This window comes from Homo sapiens, chromosome X (assembly GCF_000001405.40).
Source record: "Homo sapiens chromosome X, GRCh38.p14 Primary Assembly".
Classification (NCBI taxonomy): Eukaryota; Metazoa; Chordata; class Mammalia; order Primates; family Hominidae; genus Homo; species Homo sapiens.
The window spans coordinates 65,183,123-65,204,526 of record NC_000023.11 but is presented as its reverse complement, the minus strand read 5'-3'; the positions used below and the strand labels follow the sequence as shown (position 1 = coordinate 65,204,526).

General features: G+C 38.3%; 1 protein-coding gene and 1 pseudogene across 14 annotated transcripts in view, besides 1 other annotated feature; one reads left to right on the top strand and one right to left on the bottom strand.

Moving 5' to 3' along the window:
* Positions 1 to 21,404, bottom strand: part of ZC3H12B (zinc finger CCCH-type containing 12B) — a 473,062-nt gene that overhangs the window by 303,361 nt on the left and 148,297 nt on the right. The window lies entirely within an intron of this gene.
* Positions 7,611 to 8,111: an enhancer, noted in NCBI's record as "H3K27ac hESC enhancer chrX:64416296-64416796 (GRCh37/hg19 assembly coordinates)". NCBI's record gives its function as "activates a minimal SCP1, AML or CMV promoter by ChIP-STARR-seq in primed H9 embryonic stem cells {active_cell/tissue: H9 hESC(primed)}" and the evidence as "EXISTENCE:reporter gene assay evidence [ECO:0000049][PMID:30033119]".
* Positions 18,311 to 19,576, top strand: LOC100533843 (karyopherin subunit alpha 2 pseudogene; annotated as a pseudogene).

Genomic DNA, 21,404 nt, shown 5'->3' with positions numbered 1-21,404 from the left:
AGGAAGAATGAAAATGTGATTTTCTCTGTCAATAATTATGATTATTTTATAATAGATACTAATCATTGATAATACTATACTTTTGAAAAATGACAGGCATTTTGGAAGGAGCAAAAAATAAAGCACATAATTCTAGTTAAATCTAAACTCGCTCTCCCCAAACCTCTAATTTACCCATTTAAGAATAGAATAATTCAGATGAAAGAGGCAGAGCTAGATGGCTGAATAGAAGGATCCACCGATCAGCTTCCCATCAGGAACACAAAATTGAACAAGTATCCACATAGAAAAGCAACTTCATGAGAACCAAAAATCAGATGAATAAATGCAATACCTGTTTTTAGCTTCATATTCCTTAAAAAGGCACTGAAGAGGGTAGAAAATACAGTTTTGAATTGACAACACTGCTCCTCCTCCATATCCTGGCAGCAGCCACAGGGGATAGAGAGAGAATGTGCATTTGAGGGAGAGAGAACACAATGATTGTGGGACTCTGCATTCAAACTCAGTGTTGTCCTGTAACAGTGGAAAGCAACATGAGACATAACAAAGCTAGAACACACGGAGGAACCATTTATAACATCTCTAGCTAGAGGAGCATCACTCATCCCAGCATTTGGAACCTCAGTTCAGGAAAGCCCCACCGTGACAGGCTACAGTGCTCTATGGTCCTCAACATATGTGAAAGGCAGCCTAGACCATAAGGACTGGAATTCCTGGGCAAGTCCTGGTGCTGTGCTGGGCTTAGTGCCAGCGCACTTGCAGGGCATGTGACCTAGTAAAACACTAGCCAGGGTGACCAAGACAGTGCTTGCCACACCAATCCCGCAGCTCCAGGCAGTGCAGTATGCAGCTCCAGGAGGTAATCCTTCCTTCTGCTTGAGAGGAGGGGAAGGGACAGTAAAGAGGACTTTGTCTTGCAACTTGGATACCAGCTCAGCTACAGTAGGATAGGGAAGCAGGTAGAGACTTGAGGCTCCCATTCCAGGCCCCAAATCCTAGATGACACTTCTAGACCCACTCTGGGCCAGAAAGGAATGTGCCACCTTGAAGAAAAGGACCCAGTCCTGGCAGAATTCATTACCTGCTGACTGAAGAGCCCTTGGGCCCTGAACGATCAGCAGTAATAACCAGGCAGTACTTGCATGGGCCTTGGCTGTAACTTAAGTTGTGTTGGCTTCAGGTGTAACACAGAACATTTTGAGCTGTGGTGGCTATGGAAAGAGACTCCTTCTGCTTTAGAAAAGGAGAGGAAAAAGTAAACGGGACTTTGTCTCACGCCTTAGGTACCAGAGGTGGAAGAGCTGTAAGCAGCTCCTGGAGTCCTCAGTTTTAAGCCTTGGCTCCTGTATGGCATTTCTGGCATGCCCTGAGGCAGAGAGGGGCTCACTGCCCTGAAGAGAAAGTTCAAGGCTTGGCAGCTTTCAACAAAAGCTGACTGAAGAGCACTAGGGCCTTGAGTGAACATTGGCAGTAGCCAGACAGAACTTGTCATGGTCCTGGGGCAGTGGTGGCCACAGAGACTCTTCTGATTGAAAAACAGGGGAGAGTGGGAAGGACTTTGTTTTGTGGCTTGGGTGCCTGCTCAGCCACAGTAGAACAGAGAACCAGGTAGATTCCTAAGGTTTTTAACTCCAGGCCCAAACTCCTGGACTACAGCTCTAGACCTTCCCAGGGTTGGGGGGAACTTGCCACCTGGAAAGGAAGGACACAAGGCTAGCTGGCTTCACCAACTTCTGATTGTAGAGTCCTAGGGCCTTGCATGAATATAGGCAGTAGCCAGGCAGTGGTTACCACAGGTCTTAGGTAAGATCCAATGCTGTGCTGGCTTCAGGTCTGAACCAGCGCAGTCTCAGTGGTAGTGACTACAGGAGTGCTTGTGCCACCCTTGCCCAAGCGCCAGGAAGCTCAGAACAAAGACGTAGACTCCATTTTTTGTTTGTTTGTTTGTTTTTAAAGAAAGGGAAGAGAACAAGAGTATCTGCCTGGTAACCCAGACACATCTTCTGGTTGTTATCCAAGACCACCAAGGCTGTAATCTGAGTATGCAAAGCCACAGCATTACTGGGATTTGAGTGCCCACTTATGCTGCAATGACCAAAACCTTAGATCACAACAACCAAGTGCCTTTGAATTCTAGAAAAGCCTTCCCAAGAAGGACAGGTACAAACAATACTAGACAGTGAAAACTAAAATAAATTTCTAACTCTTCAAAGCCCAGAGACTGATGAACATTCACAAGCTTCAAGACTATCCGGGATAAAAAGACTATATTCGTCTGTTTTCACACTGTTAATAAAGTCATACCCAAGACTGTAATATTATATATTATATATAATATATATTACATATAATATATATTATATATAATATATATTTCATATTATATAAAATATATATATTACATATAATATATATTATATAAAATATATATATTACATATATTATATGTAATATATATATTACATATAATATATATTATATTATAAAGTAATTTATAAAGGAAAGAGGTTTAATTGACTCAGAGTTCTGCATGGCTAAGGAGGCCTCAGGAAACTTGCAATCATGGTGGAAGGCACCTCTTCACAGGGCAGCAAAAGGAGAAGAATAAGAGCTGAGCGAAGGGAGAAGCCCCTTATGAAAGCATCAGATCTCCTGAGAACTTGATGTCACGAGAACAGCATGGAGAAAACCAACCCTATGATTCAATTACCTGTCACTGGACCCCTCCCACAACATGTGGAGATTATGGGAACTACAATTCAAGATGAGATTTGTGGCGGGGACAGAGCTAAACCATATCAAGGACCTTAACAAACAAACTAAGGCACCAGGGACCAATCCTGGAGAGAGAGAGAGAGAGAGAGAGAGAGAGAGAGAGAGAGAGGTGATCTTTCAGACAGAGAATTCAAAATAGCTGTTTAAACAAACCCCAAAGCTAGCAGAAGACAAAAAAATAACCAAGATCAGAACTGAACTGAAAAAGATAGAGGCACAAAAAATCCCTTCAAATAATCAATGAATAAAGAAGCTGTTTTTAAGAAAAAATTAATAAAATAGACCACTAGCTAGACTAATAAAGAATAAAAGAAAAAAGTATCAAATAAACACAAACAAAAATGATAAGGGGGATAGCACCACTGACCACACGGAAAAACAAACAACCATCAGAGAATATTATAGACATCTCTATACACATAAACTAGAAAATCTAGAAGAAATGGATAAATTCCTAGACACACCCACCTTCTCAAGACTGAACAAGGAACAGATTGAATCCCTAAATAGACCAATACTGAGTTCAGAAATTGAGGTGGTAGTAAATAGCCTACCAACTGAAAAAAATAAAATAGCCCAGGACCACAAGGATTCATAGCTGAACTTTTCCAGAGGTACGAAGAAGAGCTGGCACTATTTCTTCTGAAACTATTCCAAAAAAATTGAAACAAAGGGACTCCCCCCTTACTCATTCTATGAAGCCAGGATCATCCTGATACCAAAACCTGGCAGACATACAACAAAAAGAGAAACTTAAGTCCAACATCCTTGATGAACATCGATGCAAAAATCCTCAATAAAATACTGGCAAACCGAATCCAGCATCACATCAAAATGCTTAGCCACCACGATCAAGTCCGCTTCATCCTCTTGATGCAAGGTTGGTTCAATACACACATATCAAAGATTCCATGACAGTAATGCCGAAAGCAATTGCAACAAAAACAAAAATTGAAAAATGGGATCTAATTAAATGAAAGAGCTTCTGCACAGCAGAAGAAACTATAATAAGAGGCCAGGCAAGGTGGCTCATGCCTGTAAACACAGCACTTTGGGAGGCTGAGGTGGGCAGATACACTGAGACCAGGTGTTCTAGACTAGACTGGCCAATATGGTGAATCCTCATCTCTACTAAATATACAAAAAAAATTAGCCTGGTGTGGTGGTGTGCACCTGTAGTCCCAGCTACTCAGGAGGCTGAGGTAGGAGAATCGCTTGAACCTAGGAGGTGGAGGTTGCAGTGAGCTGAGATGATGCCACTACACTCCAGCCTGGGCAACTCAGTGATACTCTGTGTCAAAAAAAAAAAAAAAAAAAAAAAAGAGGAAACTATCATCAGAGTGAACAGACAACCTACAGAATAAGAGAAAATTTTTGCAATCTGTATATTTGACAAAGGTGTAATATCCAGTCTACAAGGAACTTAAACAAATGTACAAGAAGAAAAAAACCCCATTGAGATGTGGGCAAAGGATATGCACAGACACTTCTCAAAAGAAGACATACATGCGGCCAATAAACATATGGAAAAGAACCTCAACATCACTGATCATTAGAGAAATGGAAATCAAAACCACAATGAGATACCATCTCACACCAGTCAGAATGGCTATTAAAAAGTCAAAAAATAACAGATACCAGAGAGGTTGTGGAGAAAGTAATGCTTTTACACCATTGGTGGGAGTGTAAATTAGTTCAACCATTGTAGAAGGCAGTGTGGTGATTCCTCGAAGACCTAGAGGCAGAAATATCATTTGAAATTTAACCCAGAAATGCCATTACTGGGTATATACCCAGAGAAATATAAATCACTCCATTATAAAGATATACACACACATATGTTCATTGCAGCACTATTCACAATAGCAAAGACATGGAATCAACCTAAATGTCCATCAATGATAGATTGGATAAAGCAAATGTGGTTCATATACACCATGGTATACTGCAGCTACAAAAAAAAAAAAAAAATGAGATCATGTTTTTGCGGAGACATGGTTGGAGTTGGAAACCATTATCATCAGCAAACAAATGCAGTTACAGAAAACCAGACACTGCATGTTCCCACTTATATGTGGGAGCTGAATGATGAGAACACATGGACACATAGTGGAGAACAACACAGACTGGGACCTGTTGGGGGAGGTGGGGTTAGGGAGAGCATCAGAAAGAATATCTAATGGATGATGGACTTAATGCTTAGGTGATGGGATGATCTGTGCAGCAAACCAGCATGGCACACGTCTACCTATGTAACAAACCTGCACATCCTGCTCATGTACCCCTGAACTTAATATAAAAGTGAAGAAAAATAAATAGCTGCCTTGAGGAAACTCAATGAAATTCAAGATAACACAGAAAAGGAATTCAGAATTCTATCAGATAAATTTAATGAAGAGATTGAAATATTTAAAAGAATCAAAGAGAAATTCTGTAGAAGAAAAATGCAGTTGAAATACTGAAGAATGCATCATAGTCTCTTAACAGCAGAACTGATCAAGCAGAAGAAAGAATTACTGAACTTGAAGACAGTCTACTTGAAAATACACAGTCAGAGGAGACACAAGAAAAAAAAATAATAAAAAACAATTAAGTATGCCTACGAGATCTAGAAAATAGCCTTTTAAGGGCAAATCTAAAAGTTATTGGTCTTATCTTTGGGGGGCCAACGTGGGCAGATGACATGAGGCCAAAAGTTTGAGACCAGCCTGGTCAACATGGCCAAACCGCATCTCTACTAAAAATACAAAAATTATCTGGGTGAGGTGACGATGCATGCTTGTAATCTCAGATACTCAGGAGGCTGAGGCATAAGAATCGTTTGAACCTGGATGGCTGATCTTGTAGTGAGCTGAGATCATGCCATCGCACTCCAGTGTGGGCAACAGAGTGAAACTGTCTCAAAAAGAAAAAACAAAGTTATTGGTCTTGAAGAGGAGGCAGAGAGAGAGATTGGTGTAGAAACTTTATTAAAAGGGATAATAACAGAGAACTTCCCAAACCTAGAGAAAGAAATCAATATCCAAGTTCCAGAAGGTTATAGAACAGCAAGCAAATTTAATCCAAAGAAGACAACCTCAAGACATTTGATTTTCAAACTCATGGAGGTCAAACATAAAGAAAGGATCCCAAAAGCACATCTGGCAACAGACTTTTCAGTAGAAACCTTAAAGGCCAGGAGACAGTGGCATGATATATTTAAAAATCTGTCGAAAAAAACTTTTATCTCAGAATAGTATATGCACCAAAAATATTCTTCAAACAAGAAGAAGAAATGGAGACTTTCCCACACTCAAAAACGTTGAGGAATTTCATCAACACTGGACCTATCCTACAAGAAATATTAAAGGGAATTCTTCAATCTGAAGGAAAATGATGTTAATCAGCAATAAAGATATCATCTGAAGGTACAAAAACTTGTTGATAATAGTAAGTACACAGAAAAACACAGAATGCTATAAAACTGTAAATATAATGTGTAAACTATTCATGTCTTGAGTCGGAAGTCAGATAATCCAATAAAAAATAATAATGTGAGCTGGCAATCTGGGCATCGTAGGATAATTTGTTTTGCCAGCCTCTTGGTAAGTTGAAATTATTTAGATAAGTTTCTCCAATTTTGGTGGAAAAATTGATGCGATTGGGTGGCTTGGTCTAGCAGTGATGTCATAACCTGAAGGTCGGCTTAATCATTGCCATAAGCCAATGTCCAGGCAGAGAGCTGCGGGATCGAATGTGTGTAATAAAAACGGATGTGTACGTTGATCTAGCAATTGCTGAAGTTGGAGAAAAAGAGTGAACAGGGCTGGCTCCAGACTGGACTAAATCAGTGCTGTCTCAAGGTTTTGTAGTAAATAAACAGAATATGCAGAGTCACTAGCCATATTTATGGGCTGAGTGGAAAAAGTTCCCAAGACCAGAATCAGAGCCCCAGTTTCAGCTCTCTGAGTGCTAGTAAACCTAGATCGAGTGATTGAATTGTGTGGTCTCCACCAGACTGCGGCTTTTCCATGTTTACCAGACCCATCAGTAAACAGTGTTAACACATTAGGTATGGGAGAGTAAACTATTTTTGTAGGTAAAACATTTACTAGACTTTTGGGGAATGACATAAATAGGTAAATTCCAAGGGCTGTTAGTAGAATATCACCCATAAAATGAATAACCCTGTAATTAGGAAACTTTTCTCACTGGGGAGCAAAGTTTGCTTTTAATTAGTCCTTAATTAACTCATTGGCCTTTTGTAATGTCTCTCCCTTTAGAGGTTGTTTTACTTAAATTGAATTTGGAGACAGATAACAACAGTGGCCATTATTAGAAAGAGGTCTTTCAAATTCTTACATTTTACTTAAATTTTAGCAGATATTTATAATCTGGGATGTCGCTTGTAAACAAGGAGCACAGGAGATTTTGCCTTGGGTTGCCTGCAGAGCTAGAGAGCTGAGCAGGCGGGTCCCTGGGCGGCGGCTGCTTTAGGTTTGTAAAGGCGCAGCTTTTTTCCTGTGCCATTTTTTGCCTGTGCTGGCTCCCTCCCCCAGCCGCCAGGTGGCTGTTGCCGGCCAGGGCGGACGCTGTAGTGCACGCCTCTGCTGGGGTGGACTTTGTCTCGCGCCTTTTGCCTTTCCCCAGTAGGCTCTTTGTTGCAGCTGCTGCCCTGTGGGTGGAGTTCCTGGGGGCACTTGCTGGCTCCATTTCTGTGAAATTCCCTGCTGCCAAGCCTTTCTTTTTTACTTACTGCTTGCTCTGCCTTGGCTTTGGCTTCTAATGCCTTTTCTTAACCCTTTAGGTACCTGATCGCTTTGCCATTCTTGCATTACTGGGCAGGCTAAGAGCTATCCTTTTAATTCAGCCTGCTTAAGACAGGGACTGATAGTTGTAGCATATCCTCTGTCTTTTTTCCTGTCTATTGGAGGAGGAGGCTCCGGTAAAACCTCCGTTTCCTCTTTGTTATTTTGGCCTGGTGATATTAGGGCTGAGGGAAGAGGAGGTGATATGGCAGGTGACATTTTCTCCTCATCTCCCTTTTTAGGCTCTTGTGTGTGTAACGGAGCTAGGGCTGCTCCAATTAAAGCCCATAACATTAAAGCTGTTACTGGGACCTGTTGCCTTTGTGCCTGATGTTGTTTAAGATTTCTCCCCATTGGTCCCAGAGTTCTACGTCTGGTGGTCCTTCTTCTGGGAACCATGGGCTTTGGGTTACAACAGCTGGCATTATAATTGAGCCTGTGAAACTGATGCTCTGCTAGCCTTAAGCAACTGCTTCAACACTTTTATATACTGTTTCTGTTGCGCTAATAACTGTTGTCCCATGATAAAACCTCAGCTTGACCCAAAATCCCCCCCGGAATTTGGTAACCTCGAGTGGGCACCAATGACTTACTGATTACTCACTGACTTGACCCCGCAGTTCCTTTTTTCACCCTCATTTTTTGGGGAGTCGCATTTCCTTCACGCTTCCTTCATAGCTTTCCTCATGAGGGCGGTCCTCACACTTCCTTCCCAGCTTGCCTCACGAGGGGCTCCAACTGCAGGGGGACTGTTTCTGCAGACCCCTGGCTGTCCTCACATGGGGCACCAGCTGAGGCAGCGCACCTTTCGAGGGGGCACTAGCTGCGGGGGGTGGGGGGAAGGGGCTGTTCCTGCAGGCCCTTGATTCAGCGACGGATGAGTAAAGTCCGCTGACACACAGATATTCTGCTCTGCCAGTCTAGCTGAGGGTCTGAGCCACTTACAGGCTCCAAGCTGAGTTCTGTAAACAGTTCGACTTGGCCCTCATCAAAAAGTGAGGCTTGCATTTATTCAGTAAGACTAATTAACAAAAGTTGTGAGTAAACACCACTAGAGAGTAAAGATTAAAGGCCAGGTTCCAGGCCTAAAGCAAACAGCATTTGGGGGCAATAAACTTCTGCCAACTCCCTGAGTAGGAGGCAGTAAAGTAACTCAGTAGGACAAAGGTGTTAGTCTTAAGCCCATATAAGTAAACATGTTAGTAAGGTAGACTTCCCACATTCCTTTGTACTTGCAACCTAATCTTTCTGGCTCCTGCAAACAGACCCTGGCTGCTTTCAGCCAAGCAATCTGAAGCTATGCAAACTCTCAGGCATTCCAAGAGAGCTTTTGACTATTACTATAACTATCTTTAATATTTTTTCCACCAGCCTGATGGAATCCTAACAAAATACAATATCTTTTCAAGACATAGATAGTACAATAAGATATACATAGATAGTACAATAAGATATACATAGAAACAACAAAAAGTTAAAAAGCAGGGTATGAAGTTAAAGTGTAGAGTTTTTATTAGTGTTCTCTTCGCTTGTTTGTTGGTTTATACAATCAGTGCCAATTTGTCATCAATTTAAAATAATGGGTTACAGGTATTTGCAAGCTTCATGGTTACCTCAAATCAAAAAACCCACAAAGATATGCAAAATGTAAAAAGTAAGAAATTAAAGCATAACACCACAGAAAATCACCTCCACTGAAAAGGAGACAGGTAGGAAGAAAGAAAAGAAAGAAGACCACAAATCAACCAGAAAACAAATAACAAAATAGCAGAAGTAAACCCTTACTCATCAATAATAACATCAAATGGAACTTGATTAAACTCTCCATTAAAAAGACAGAGTGGCTGAATGCATTAAAAAAAAAAAGACCCAATGATCTGTTCACTACAACAAATACACTGCATCTTTAAAGGCACACTAGACTGAAAATAAAGGAAAAAGATATTCCATACAAATAGAAACAAAAAAAGAGCAAGAGTAGCTACAATTATTGAAGATAAAATAAATTTCAAGACAAAAACTACAAAAAAGATAAAGACGGTCACTATATAATGATGAAGGATTCGTTGAGGAAGAAGATATCACAATTTTAAATATATATGCATCCAACACTGGAGTACCCAGATATATAAAGCAATAAATTATTAGGGCTAAAGTGACAGGCAACAATACAATAATAACTGGAGACTTCAACAACCGAAGTTCAGCACTGGACAGATCATTCAGACAGAAAATCAACGAACATTGTAGTTAATCTGCACTATCGACTAAAAAGACCTAACAAATATTTACAGAACATTTCATTCAAAGGCTGCAGAATAGACATGATTGTCCTCAGCACATGGATAATTCTTAAGGATAGACCATATATTAGGTCAAAACCAAGTCTTAAAACATTCACAAAATTTAAAATTACATCAACTATCTTATGTGACCACAAAGGAATAAAACTAGAAATCAATTACTAGAAGAGTTTGGAAACTATGCAGACACAGAAATTAAGCAAAATATTTCCCTGAATGATCAGTGAGTCAATAAATAAATTTTTATTTTTTTATTTTATTATTATTATACTTTAAGTTTTAGGGTACATGTGCACAATGTGCAGGTTAGTTACATATGTATACATGTGCCATGCTGGAGTGCTGCACCCATTAACTCATCACTTAGCATTAGGTATATCTCCTAATGCTATCCCTCCCCCCTCCCCCCACCCCAAAGAAGATAATTAAATTTTTTGAAACAAATTATAAGGGAAATGTGACACATCAAAATCCATGGGTGATATGATTTGGATCTCTGTCTCTGCCCAAATCTCATGTCAAATTGTAATTCCCAGTGTTGGAGGTTGGGGCCTGGTGGGAGTTGATAGGATCATGGGGCTGCATTACCCCCGTGCCACTGCTCTCGTGATATCTGGTTGTTTAAAAGTATGTGACAACTCCACCCTTCTTCCTCTTGCTCCAGCCACATGAAGTGTTGGCTCCCCATTTGCCTTCTGCCATGATTGAAAGCTCCCTGAGGCTGCCTCAGAAGCAGAAGCCACTATGGTTCTTGTACACCCTGTGGAGCCATGAGCCAATTAAACTTCTTTTCTTTATAAATTTCCCATTCTCAGGTATTTATCTACAGCAATGTGAGAACAGACTAATACAATGAGATATAGAGAAAGCAACACTAAGAGGAAAACTTATAGGTAAAAATTCCTACACCAAAAAGTAGAAAAATTTCAAATAAACCACTTAATGATTCATCTTAAAAAACTAGAAAAGCAAGAACAATTGAAACCACAAATTAGTAGAAGAAATAATAAAAATCAGAGCAGAAATAAATGAAATTAAGATAAAAAAATCAACAACACAAAAGATCGATGACAGGAAAAGTTGGTTTTCTGAAAAGACAAAATTGACATACCTTTAGCTAGAATAAGAAAAAAGAGAGAAAACCCAAATAAATAAAATTAGAGATAAAAAGGAAACATTACAACCAATACTTCAGAAAGTAAAAGGATTATTAGAGGCTACAATGAGCAACTATGTGCCAATAAATTGGAAAATTTAGAAGCAAGGGATAAATTCCTAGACACATACAACCAACTAAGATTGAACCATGAAAAAATTCAAAACTGAACAGACTAACAAGTAATGAGATCGAAGACAAGATAAAACATCTTCCAGCAAATTGGCTTCACTGCTGAATCTCACCAAACATTTAAAGAACTAATGTCAACCCTCCTTAAACTATTCCAAAAAATTGAGGAGGAAGGAAGACTTCCATACTCATTCTATGAGGCCAGAACTACCCTGATAACAAAACCAGATAAAGACACATTAAAAGAAAAAAAAAAAAAAACCTTCAGGCCAATATCACTGATTAATATTGATGCAAAAGGCTAGGGGTGGTGGCTCACAACTATAATCCCAGCACATTGGGAGGCTGAGGCGAGTGGATCACGAGGTCAAGAGCTCGACACCATCCTGGCCAACATGGTGAAACCTTGTCTCTACTAAAAATACAAAAATTAGCTGGGGGTGGTGGCACGCACCTGTAGTCCCAACTACTCAGGAGGCTGAGGCAGGAAAATCGCTTGAAACTAGTCGAGATTGTGCCACTGCACTCCAGCCCAGCAATAGAGCGAGACTCCATCTCAAAAACAATCTATCTATCTATCTATCTATCTATCTATCTATCTGGGAAAATCCCCAATAAAATATTAGCAAAACAAATTAAACAACATAAAAATATCATTCATCATGACCAAGTGGGATTTATCCTAGGGAGGGAGGAATAGTTCAACATATGCAAGTCAGCCAATGTAATCCATCGTATCAAAAGAATGAAGGACAAAAATCATATGATAAATTCAACTGATGCTGATAAAGCATTTGATAATATTCAACATCCTCCTAAATAAACCTACCAAAAAACTGGGTACAGAATAAACATACCTCAATAAAATAAAAGCCATATACCACTGACCCACAGCTACTATCATACTGAGGAAAAACTGCAAGCCTTTTATCTAAGATCTAAAACATGACAAAGATTCCCACTTAACACCACTGTTATTCAAAATGGTACTGAATGTCCCAATTAGAGCAATCAGACAACAAAAAGAAAAAAAGGGTATCCAAATTGGAATGGAAGAAGTCAAATTATCCTTGTTTGATCCACCCCAAATCAACAAAATATACATTTTTTTCAGCACCACACCACACCTATTCCAAAATTGACCACATAGTTGGAAGTAAAGCTCTCCTCAGCAAATGTAAAAGAACAGAAATTATAACAAACTATCTCTCAGACCACAGTGTAATCAAACTAGAACTCAGGATTAAGAATCTCACTCAAAGCCGCTCAACTACATGGAAACTGAACAACCTGCTCCTCAATGACTACTGGGTACATAATGAAATGAAGGCAGAAATAAAGATGTTCTTTGAAACCAACGAGAACAAAGACACAACATACCAGAATCTCTGGGACGCATTCAAGGCAGTGTGTAGAGGGAAATTTATAGCACTAAATGCCCACAAGAGAAAGCAGGAAAGATCCAAAATTGACACCCTAACATCACAATTAAAAGAACTAGAAAAGCAAGAGCAAACACATTCAAAAGCTAGCAGAAGGCAAGAAATAACTAAAATCAGAGCAGAACTGAAGGAAATAGAGACATAAAAAACCCTTCAAAAAACCAATGAATCCAGGAGCTGGTTTTTTGAAAGGATCAACAAAATTGATAGACCGCTAGCAAGACTAATAAAGAAAAAAAGAGAGAAGAATCAAATAGACACAAAAAAAAAATTATAAAGGGGATATCACCACTGATCCCACAGAAATACAAACTACCATCAGAGAATACTACAAACACCTCTATGCAAATAAACTAGAAAATCTAGAAGAAATGGATAAATTACTCGACACATACACTCTCCCAAGACTAAACCAGGAAGAAGTTGAATCTCTGAATAGACCAATAACAGGAGCTGAAATTCTGGCAATAATCAATAGTTTACCAACCAAAAAGAGTCCAGGACCAGATGGATTCACAGCCGAATTCTACCAGAGGTACAAGGAAGAACTGGTACCATTCCTTCTGAAACTATTCCAATCAATAGAAAAAGAGGGAATCCTCCCTAACTCATTTTATGAGGCCAGCATCATTCTGATACCAAAGCCGGGCAGAGACACAACCAAAAAAGAGAATTTTAGACCAATATCCTTGATGAACATTGATGCAAAAATCCTCAATAAAATACTGGCAAACCGAATCCAGCAGCACATCAAAAAGCTTATCCACCATGATCAAGTGGGCTTCATCCCTGGGATGCAAGGCTGGTTCAATATACGCAAATCAATAAATGTAGTCCAGCATATAAACAGAGCCAAAGACAAAAACCACATGATTATCTCAATAGATGCAGAAAAAGCCTTTGACAAAATTCAACAACCCTTCATGCTAAAAACTCTCAATAAATTAGGTATTGATGGGACATATTTCAAAATAATAAGAGCTATCTATGACAAACCCACAGCCAATATCATACTGAATGGGAAAAAACTGGAAGCATTCCCTTTGAAAACTGGCACAAGACAGGGGTGCCCTCTCTCACCACTCCTATTCAACATAGTGTTGGAAGTTCTGGCCAGGGCAATTAGGCAGGAGAAGGAAATAAAGGGTATTCAATTAGGAAAAGAGGAAGTCAAATTGTCCCTGTTTGCAGATGACATGATTGTATATCTAGAAAACCCCATTGTCTCAGCCCAAAATCTCCTGAAGATGATAAGCAACTTCAGCAAAGTCTCAGGATACAAAATCAATGTACAAAAATCACAAGCATTCTTATACACCAACAACAGACAAACAGAGAGCCAAATCATGAGTGAACTCCCATTCACAATTGCTTCAAAGAGAATAAAATACCTAGGAATCCAACTTACAAGGGATGTGAAGGACCTCTTCAAGGAGAACTACAAAACACTCCTCAAGGAAATAAAAGAGGATACAAACAAATGGAAGAACATTCCATGCTCATGGGTAAGAAGAATCAATATCGTGAAAATGGCCATACTGCCCAAGGTAATTTACAGATTCAATGCCATCCCCATCAAGCTACCAATGACTTTCTTCACAGAATTAGAAAAAAATACTTTAAAGTTCATATGGAACCAAAAAAGAGCCCGCATTGCCAAGTCAATCCTAAGCCAAAAGAACAAAGCTGGAGGCATCACACTACCTGACTTCAAACTATACTACAAGGCTACAGTAACCAAAACAGCATGGTACTGGTACCAAAACAGAGATATAGATCAATGGAACAGAACACAGCCCTCAGAAATAATGCCGCATACCCACAACTATCTGATCTTTGACAAACCTGAGAAAAACAAGCAATGGGGAAAGGATTCCCTATTTAATAAATGGTGCTGGGGAAACTGGATAGCCATATGTAGGAAGCTGAAACTGGATCCCTTCCTTACACCTTATACAAAAATCAATTCAAGATGGATTAAAGATTTAAACGTTAGACCTAAAACCATAAAAACCCTAGAAGAAAATCTAGGCATTACCATTCAGGACATAGGCATGGGCAAGGACTTCATGTCCAAAACACCAAAAGCAATGGCAACAGAAGGCAAAATTGACAAATGGGATCTAATTAAACAAAAGAGCTTCTGCATAGCAAAAGCAACTACCATCAGAGTGAACAGGCAACTTACAAAATGGGAGAAAATTTTCGCAACCTACTCATCTGACAAAGGGCTAATATCCAGAATCTACAATGAACTCAAACAAATTTACAAGAAAAAAACAAACAACCCCATCAAAAAGTGGGCGAAGGACATGAACAGACACTTCTCAAAAGAAGACATTTATGCAGCCAAAAAACACATGAAAAAATGCTCATCATCACTGGTCATCAGAGAAATGCAAATCAAAACCACTATGAGATACCATCTCACACCATTTAGAATGGCAATCATTAAAAAGTCAGGAAACAACAGGTGCTGGAGAGGATGTGGAGAAATAGGAACACTTTTACACTGTTGGTGGGACTGTAAACTAGTTCAACCATTGTGGAAGTCAGTGTGGCAATTCCTCAGGGATCTAGAACTAGAAATACCATTTGACCCAGCCATTCCATTACTGGGTATATACCCAAACGACTATAAATCATGCTGCTATAAAGACACATGCACACGTATGTTTATTGCGGCATTATTCACAATAGCAAAGACTTGGAACCAACCCACATGTCCAACAATGATAGACTGGATTAAGAAAATGTGGCACATATACACCATGGAATACTATGCAGTCATAAAAAATGATGAGTTCATGTCCTTTGTAGGGACATGGATGAAATTGGAAATCATCATTCTCAGTAAACTATCGCAAGAACAAAAAACCAAACACCGCATATTCTCACTCATAGGTGAGAATTGAACAATGAGATCACATGGACACAGGAAGGGGAATATCACACTCTGGGGACTGTGGTGGGGTGGGGGGAGGGGGGAGGGATAGCATTGGGAGATATACCTAATGTTAGATGACGAGTTAGTGGGTGCAGTGCACCAGCATGGCACAGGTATACATATGTATCTAACCTGCACAATGTGCACATGTACCCTAAAACTTAAATAAAAAAAAAAAACTTAAAGACTTTAGAACTAATATAAAAATTCAGCAACACTGCAGCATATGAAATCAATATACAAAAATCAGTAGTATTTCTACATGCCAACAACAATCTAAAAAAGAAACCAAGAAATAATTTCATTTACCATAGCTACAAATAAAATAAGATACCTAAGAATAAATGTAACTGACATTTCTCACAAGAAGACATGCAAATGGCAAACAGGCATATGAAAAGGTGCTGAATATCATTGATCATCAAAGAAATGCAAATCCAAACTGTAATAAGACATAATCTCACCCCAGTTAAAATGGCCTATATTCAAAAGACAGGCAATAACAAATACCAGCAACAATATGGAGGAAAGGGAAACGTTGTACACTGTTAGTGAGAATGTAAATTAGTAAAACCGCTATGAATAATAGTTTGAAGGCTTCTCAAAAAAAAAAAAAAAAAAAATAGAGCAACCACATGATCCAGCAATGTCACTGCTAGGTATATAGACCAAAGAAAGGAAATCAGTATATTGAAAAGATAGCTGCACTCCTGTGTTTATTGCAACACTATTCACAATAGCCAAAATGTGGAAGCAACCTAAGTGTCCATCAACAGATGAATAGATTTTTAAAAATGTGTTTCATATACACAATGGAATAATATTCAGCCATAAAAATGAATGAGATCTTATCATCTGCAACAATATGGCTGGAATTGGAGGTCATTATGTTAAGTGAAAAAAGCCAGGTACCAAAAGACAAACTATGCATGTTCTCACATATTACTGAGTGCTAAAAATTAAAACAATTGAACTCATGTAGATCAAGAGTAGAATGATGGTTACCAAAGGCTGAGAAAGATAGTGGTTGGAGGGTAAGGTTAGGGATGATTAATGCATGCAAAATTATAATTAGATAAAATGAGTAACATCTAGTATTGGATAGCACAACAAGGTGGCTACAGTCAACAACAGTTTATATTTTAAAATAACTAAAAATATAATTAGATGGTTTATAACACAAAGAATGAATGAATGCTTGAGATCACAGATACCCCATGTATTCTAATGTGATTATTATGCATTGTATACCTGTATCAAAACATCTCATGTGCTCCATATATGTATACCTACTACGTACCAGAAAAAAGTAAAAAAAAAAAAAAAGTAAAATCAATAAAAATATTTAGGTTGGGCTGGTGCAAAAGTAATTGCGGTTTTTGCCATTAATAATTATAAAGTCATTCTACCATAGACTTGACTAAATACTGTCCAAATCACTTTTTCCATTTGGTAGATATTTTTCTCTCTTTGGTAATCTCCTCTGAATTAGAAATGTATTTTCCTATCATGGTAGAGTCTCTTACCATTTTCTGTACATCATTAGAAAATCAAAACATTAGCTCTGAAAGCCTTTATAGTTTAGAATTTTAAAGCATAATTGTTTTCAGCCATCCAGAAAGTGCTGACCTGAGGCCTGTGAGCCTTGACCCTTTTACCCATAGAACCTGAGCCAGATCCACACTATCTTCTAACTTTTTCCCAGTGGTCTAAAAATACATCCACCAATGTGAAGGGCAATTCACCAGCTGTCCACCTTAACAGGTGCAAGAACAAAGAGAAAGAAGAGAAATGATACAATAGTGCATAGAAGTTAATATGAAACTGAGGAAAGCTAAGAAAGATAGGTGGGATGCTAAAAACTGAAAAACAGTGGGGAGATTCCTTAAAGAACTAAAAGAAGATTGACCGTTTGATCCAGCAATCCCACTCCTAGGTATCTACCCAGAGAAAAAGAAGGCATTATACGAAAAAGATACTTGCACACACGTTTATAGCAGCACAATTTGCAGGTGCAAAAATATGGAACCAGCCCAAATGCCCACCAATCAATGAGTGGATAAAGAAAATGTGGTATATATATACCATGGAATACTACTCAGCAATATAAAGGAATGAAATAATGGCATTCGCAGCAACCTGCATTGAATTGGAGACTATTATTCCAAGTGAAGCAACTCAGGAATGAAAAACCAAATATTTTATGTTCTCACTCATATGTGGGAGCTAAGCTATGAGGACGCAAAGGCATAAGAATAATACACTGGACTTCAGGGACTTGGGAAAAAGGGTAGAGGGTGGTGAGGGGTAAAAGGCTACACATTGGGTACAGTGTACACTGTTTGGGTGATGGGTGCACCAAATTCTCAGAAATCAACAATAAAGAACTTATTCATGTAACCAAACACCACCTGTTCCACAAAAACGTATTGAAATTAAAAAAAAAAAAGAAATATAAGCTATTTTCCTGACACTTTTTTTTTTTTTTTTGACACAGAGTCTTACTCTGTGGCCCAGGCTGGAGTACAGTGGTGAGATCTTGGCTCACTGCAACTCTGGCCTCCTGGGTTCAAGGGATTCTTCTGCCTCTACCTCCTGAGGAGCTGGGATTACAGGCGCCCTCCACCATGCCCGACTAATTTTGTGTTTTTTTGTAGAGATGGGGTTTCACCATGTTGGCCAGGCTGGTCTTGAACTCCTAACCTCAAGTGATCCACCCACCTCGGCCTCCCAAAGTGCTGGATTACAGGTGTGAGCCACTGCACCCAGCACCTGCTACTTTTCTATCACAGGAAAACCATAGCAACTAGGGCTTTGTAAATTGTTCTGTTGATGTCACTGTGAAAGACACAAAGAGTAATAATTTGGTACTCCAACTCCAAGCTACCCAAGGTGTCAGAAAATTATTTTCTATGGAAAACTCTCCATAAACAATATAATCCAGACTGGTTTGATTCCAAAATGCGTGCCTTTCTCTGATTGTAGTACTGTTAAACTTTAATTTGTTTAGGTGCACTTGCTAATATAGATTTTGGGAAATCACAATAGACAAGCTGTGGTAGATGAAGCGCATTCATTGCTCTGTTGGCATCTTACCATTCACACATCAGTAAATAAGCTATATGAGCTTTAGGAAATCTTTCAAGATTTGGTTATCAAGAATGGTGCAATAGATACTTTATTAATTCTGCTTGAAGTTCCTGATATGTCATCTTTGTTGTGTGGTTATTTATATAATTTTACTTTCCAACTTCTGTTGTCATAAAAAATCCAACTCTACTATTAGATGCTGCTAAGCAAATTCTCTCTACTTTAGTTTATCTTCTGCATCATATTGATCTTGAGGTATTTATGGATATTTGGAGACTATTTCCTACCTCACTGATGGTGCAAATGAACCAACTTAAATTGTTTTAAAAACAAGAGTTTTGCCATAGCTCATAAAGGTTTTAGGAGCTACTGAATTACCAACTATGCAACTAGTCTAAAGAGACATAGGAAATACTGTCACTAGAACAGACCAACAGAATCAGGTTGTAGATGCACTTTCAGTTTTCCCTAGCCTGCTTACTAAAGCAAAAACTAATATTTTGAAGAAAGCTGCAAGAACAATATCAAAAATCACAGCTATCTGTCAGGACCACATACAAGTTCCATTCTTTTTGCTTTCCTCTAGTCATTATTTGTTGGCTATTTTGATCTTGTCTTAAAGGCAGATTTGAAGATACACAAACAAGCTGTACGGTTAGTCACTATTTATACAAGTGAAGAAATAGGTGAACAGATTGTATACCGTCCATATCCATTGTTGCATGATGGAACCACTAAAAAACCTTTGAAGTTTAAAACATATTGTGATTGTCCTAGTTATGCTTTACAGCTGTTGAGAAACTAGCTGAAACTAGAAAAAAAATCTTAGTACAGTGAAGAGCATGGAGATCTGGACAAAATTGAAGGTCTTCAAAACCTGAGAAAAAGTCTATGTAGATTTCATTAAGCTTAATTGAGACATTTTCTATATAAATGAAGAAAGTAATATATACAATGCATATATGTATGAAAACATCACTCAGTACCTCATAAATATGTATAATTATTAGGTGTCAATTAAAAACAAAGTAGAACATAAAAATGAATATTATGTCAAAATCTATTGCTGATGGGCTACAGTTCAGGATTATACTCCTTAGACTTTCAGTTTTACATATTACTAATGAAGTAGTTTTCTGTACCATGTTGTATACATGTATACCATGTTTCTCTAGTAAGATCTCTTTTTAGATGTGATTTGTAGTGCAACACTTTTTACATCTCAAGTACACTTCAACAGTTCCAAACTATACATACCTTTAATAACCCCTCTCTAATCCCTTTCCCAAAGGTTTCTGTTCTCAATTTACACGTTACTGTTTAAAAGGTCCTAGTATCCACCAATCTCTGACTGCCCTTTTTACTAGTTTACAAATTCCATCCATCACAAAATCCACCTTCTGCAATATCTCACAGATTCAGTCAGTTGGTAAGTATTGAGATCTATTATCTAGCAGGATGGGGAGTTCTGCTCATCCATCTGCTTGCTGTGAAACCCACAGCAATGTTGCTCTAAAGATCAAATGAGATGATCTTCAAAAGGACTCTGTAAAATATAACATGGTATACTATACATGAGTTTGCTAATGTTGCTATTGTAATCATTATTCTGTCAAAAGGGGAAAGGGGGTTGAGAAAACAAAAAAAATATAAGACATGGTCTCTGCTATCAAGATATAAACAATGTAGAAATATCAAGATAACATACCTCAAACAAGTTAAATTCTAAAATGCCTCATGGTGTCAGGAAAAGGAAGAGGAAGGCAACTAACATTTATCTGATACTTACTATATGTTAATGTGTTGTGTGCTTTACATATATAATATCAATAGGAGTTCAAAACTGAACAAGTTCAACCTCACCTGGAATTCCAAATATGCTGGGCAGTCCATTTACTTCCTATTTCAATTCTTCTCAGAGTTGAATTTAAAATTATCCCACACACCACCCTCATTTACCCATAGAATGCCTCTTTTCTACTTTGCCAACATAAAAAAGGGCATCAGGTAAAAACTTCCCCAAATTATTTCCTAATTTCCAACTTATCTATAAATATTCCTTGAACCATTTACTTGACTGCATTTACTATATATTAGGTATGATCCAGACACCAAGGACTCAACAATGAACAATAGGGATAAGTACCTTACATATTCTATTTGGGAAGACAGATAACAAACAACCAAACCTGTAACTATAAAAATATATTCATCTTTACTACCTTTATTTCCATCAGGAAAAGATAAGTATCTCACCAATAAAAATAACTTCTCCAAGTGTAACGTTGATTCCACAACCATAAGACTGTTTTCTTCATATATGTATAATTTTCTTAACTTTTATTTCAGGATCAAAGGTACATGTGTAGGTTTGTTATGTAGGTAAATTGCGTGCAACTGGGGTTTGGTGTACTCAGATGATGAGTATAGTACCCAATTAAGTAGTTTTTCGATCCTCACCCCCTCCCACCCTCCAACCTCAAATAGACCCCAGTGTCTGTTATCTTCTTTGTGTCCATATGTACTAAATGTTTAGTTTTCACATGTAAGTTAGAACACGTGGTATTTGCTTTTCTGTTCCTGCGTTAGTTTGCTTAGGATAATAGTACCCAACTCCATCCATGTTGATGAAAAATACATGATCTCATTCTTTTTTTATGGCCGCATAAAATTCCATTTTCTTTATTTTCTTTATTCAGTCTACCATTGATGGGCATCTAGATTGATTATATGTCTTTGCTATTGTGAATAGTACTGTGATGAACATAT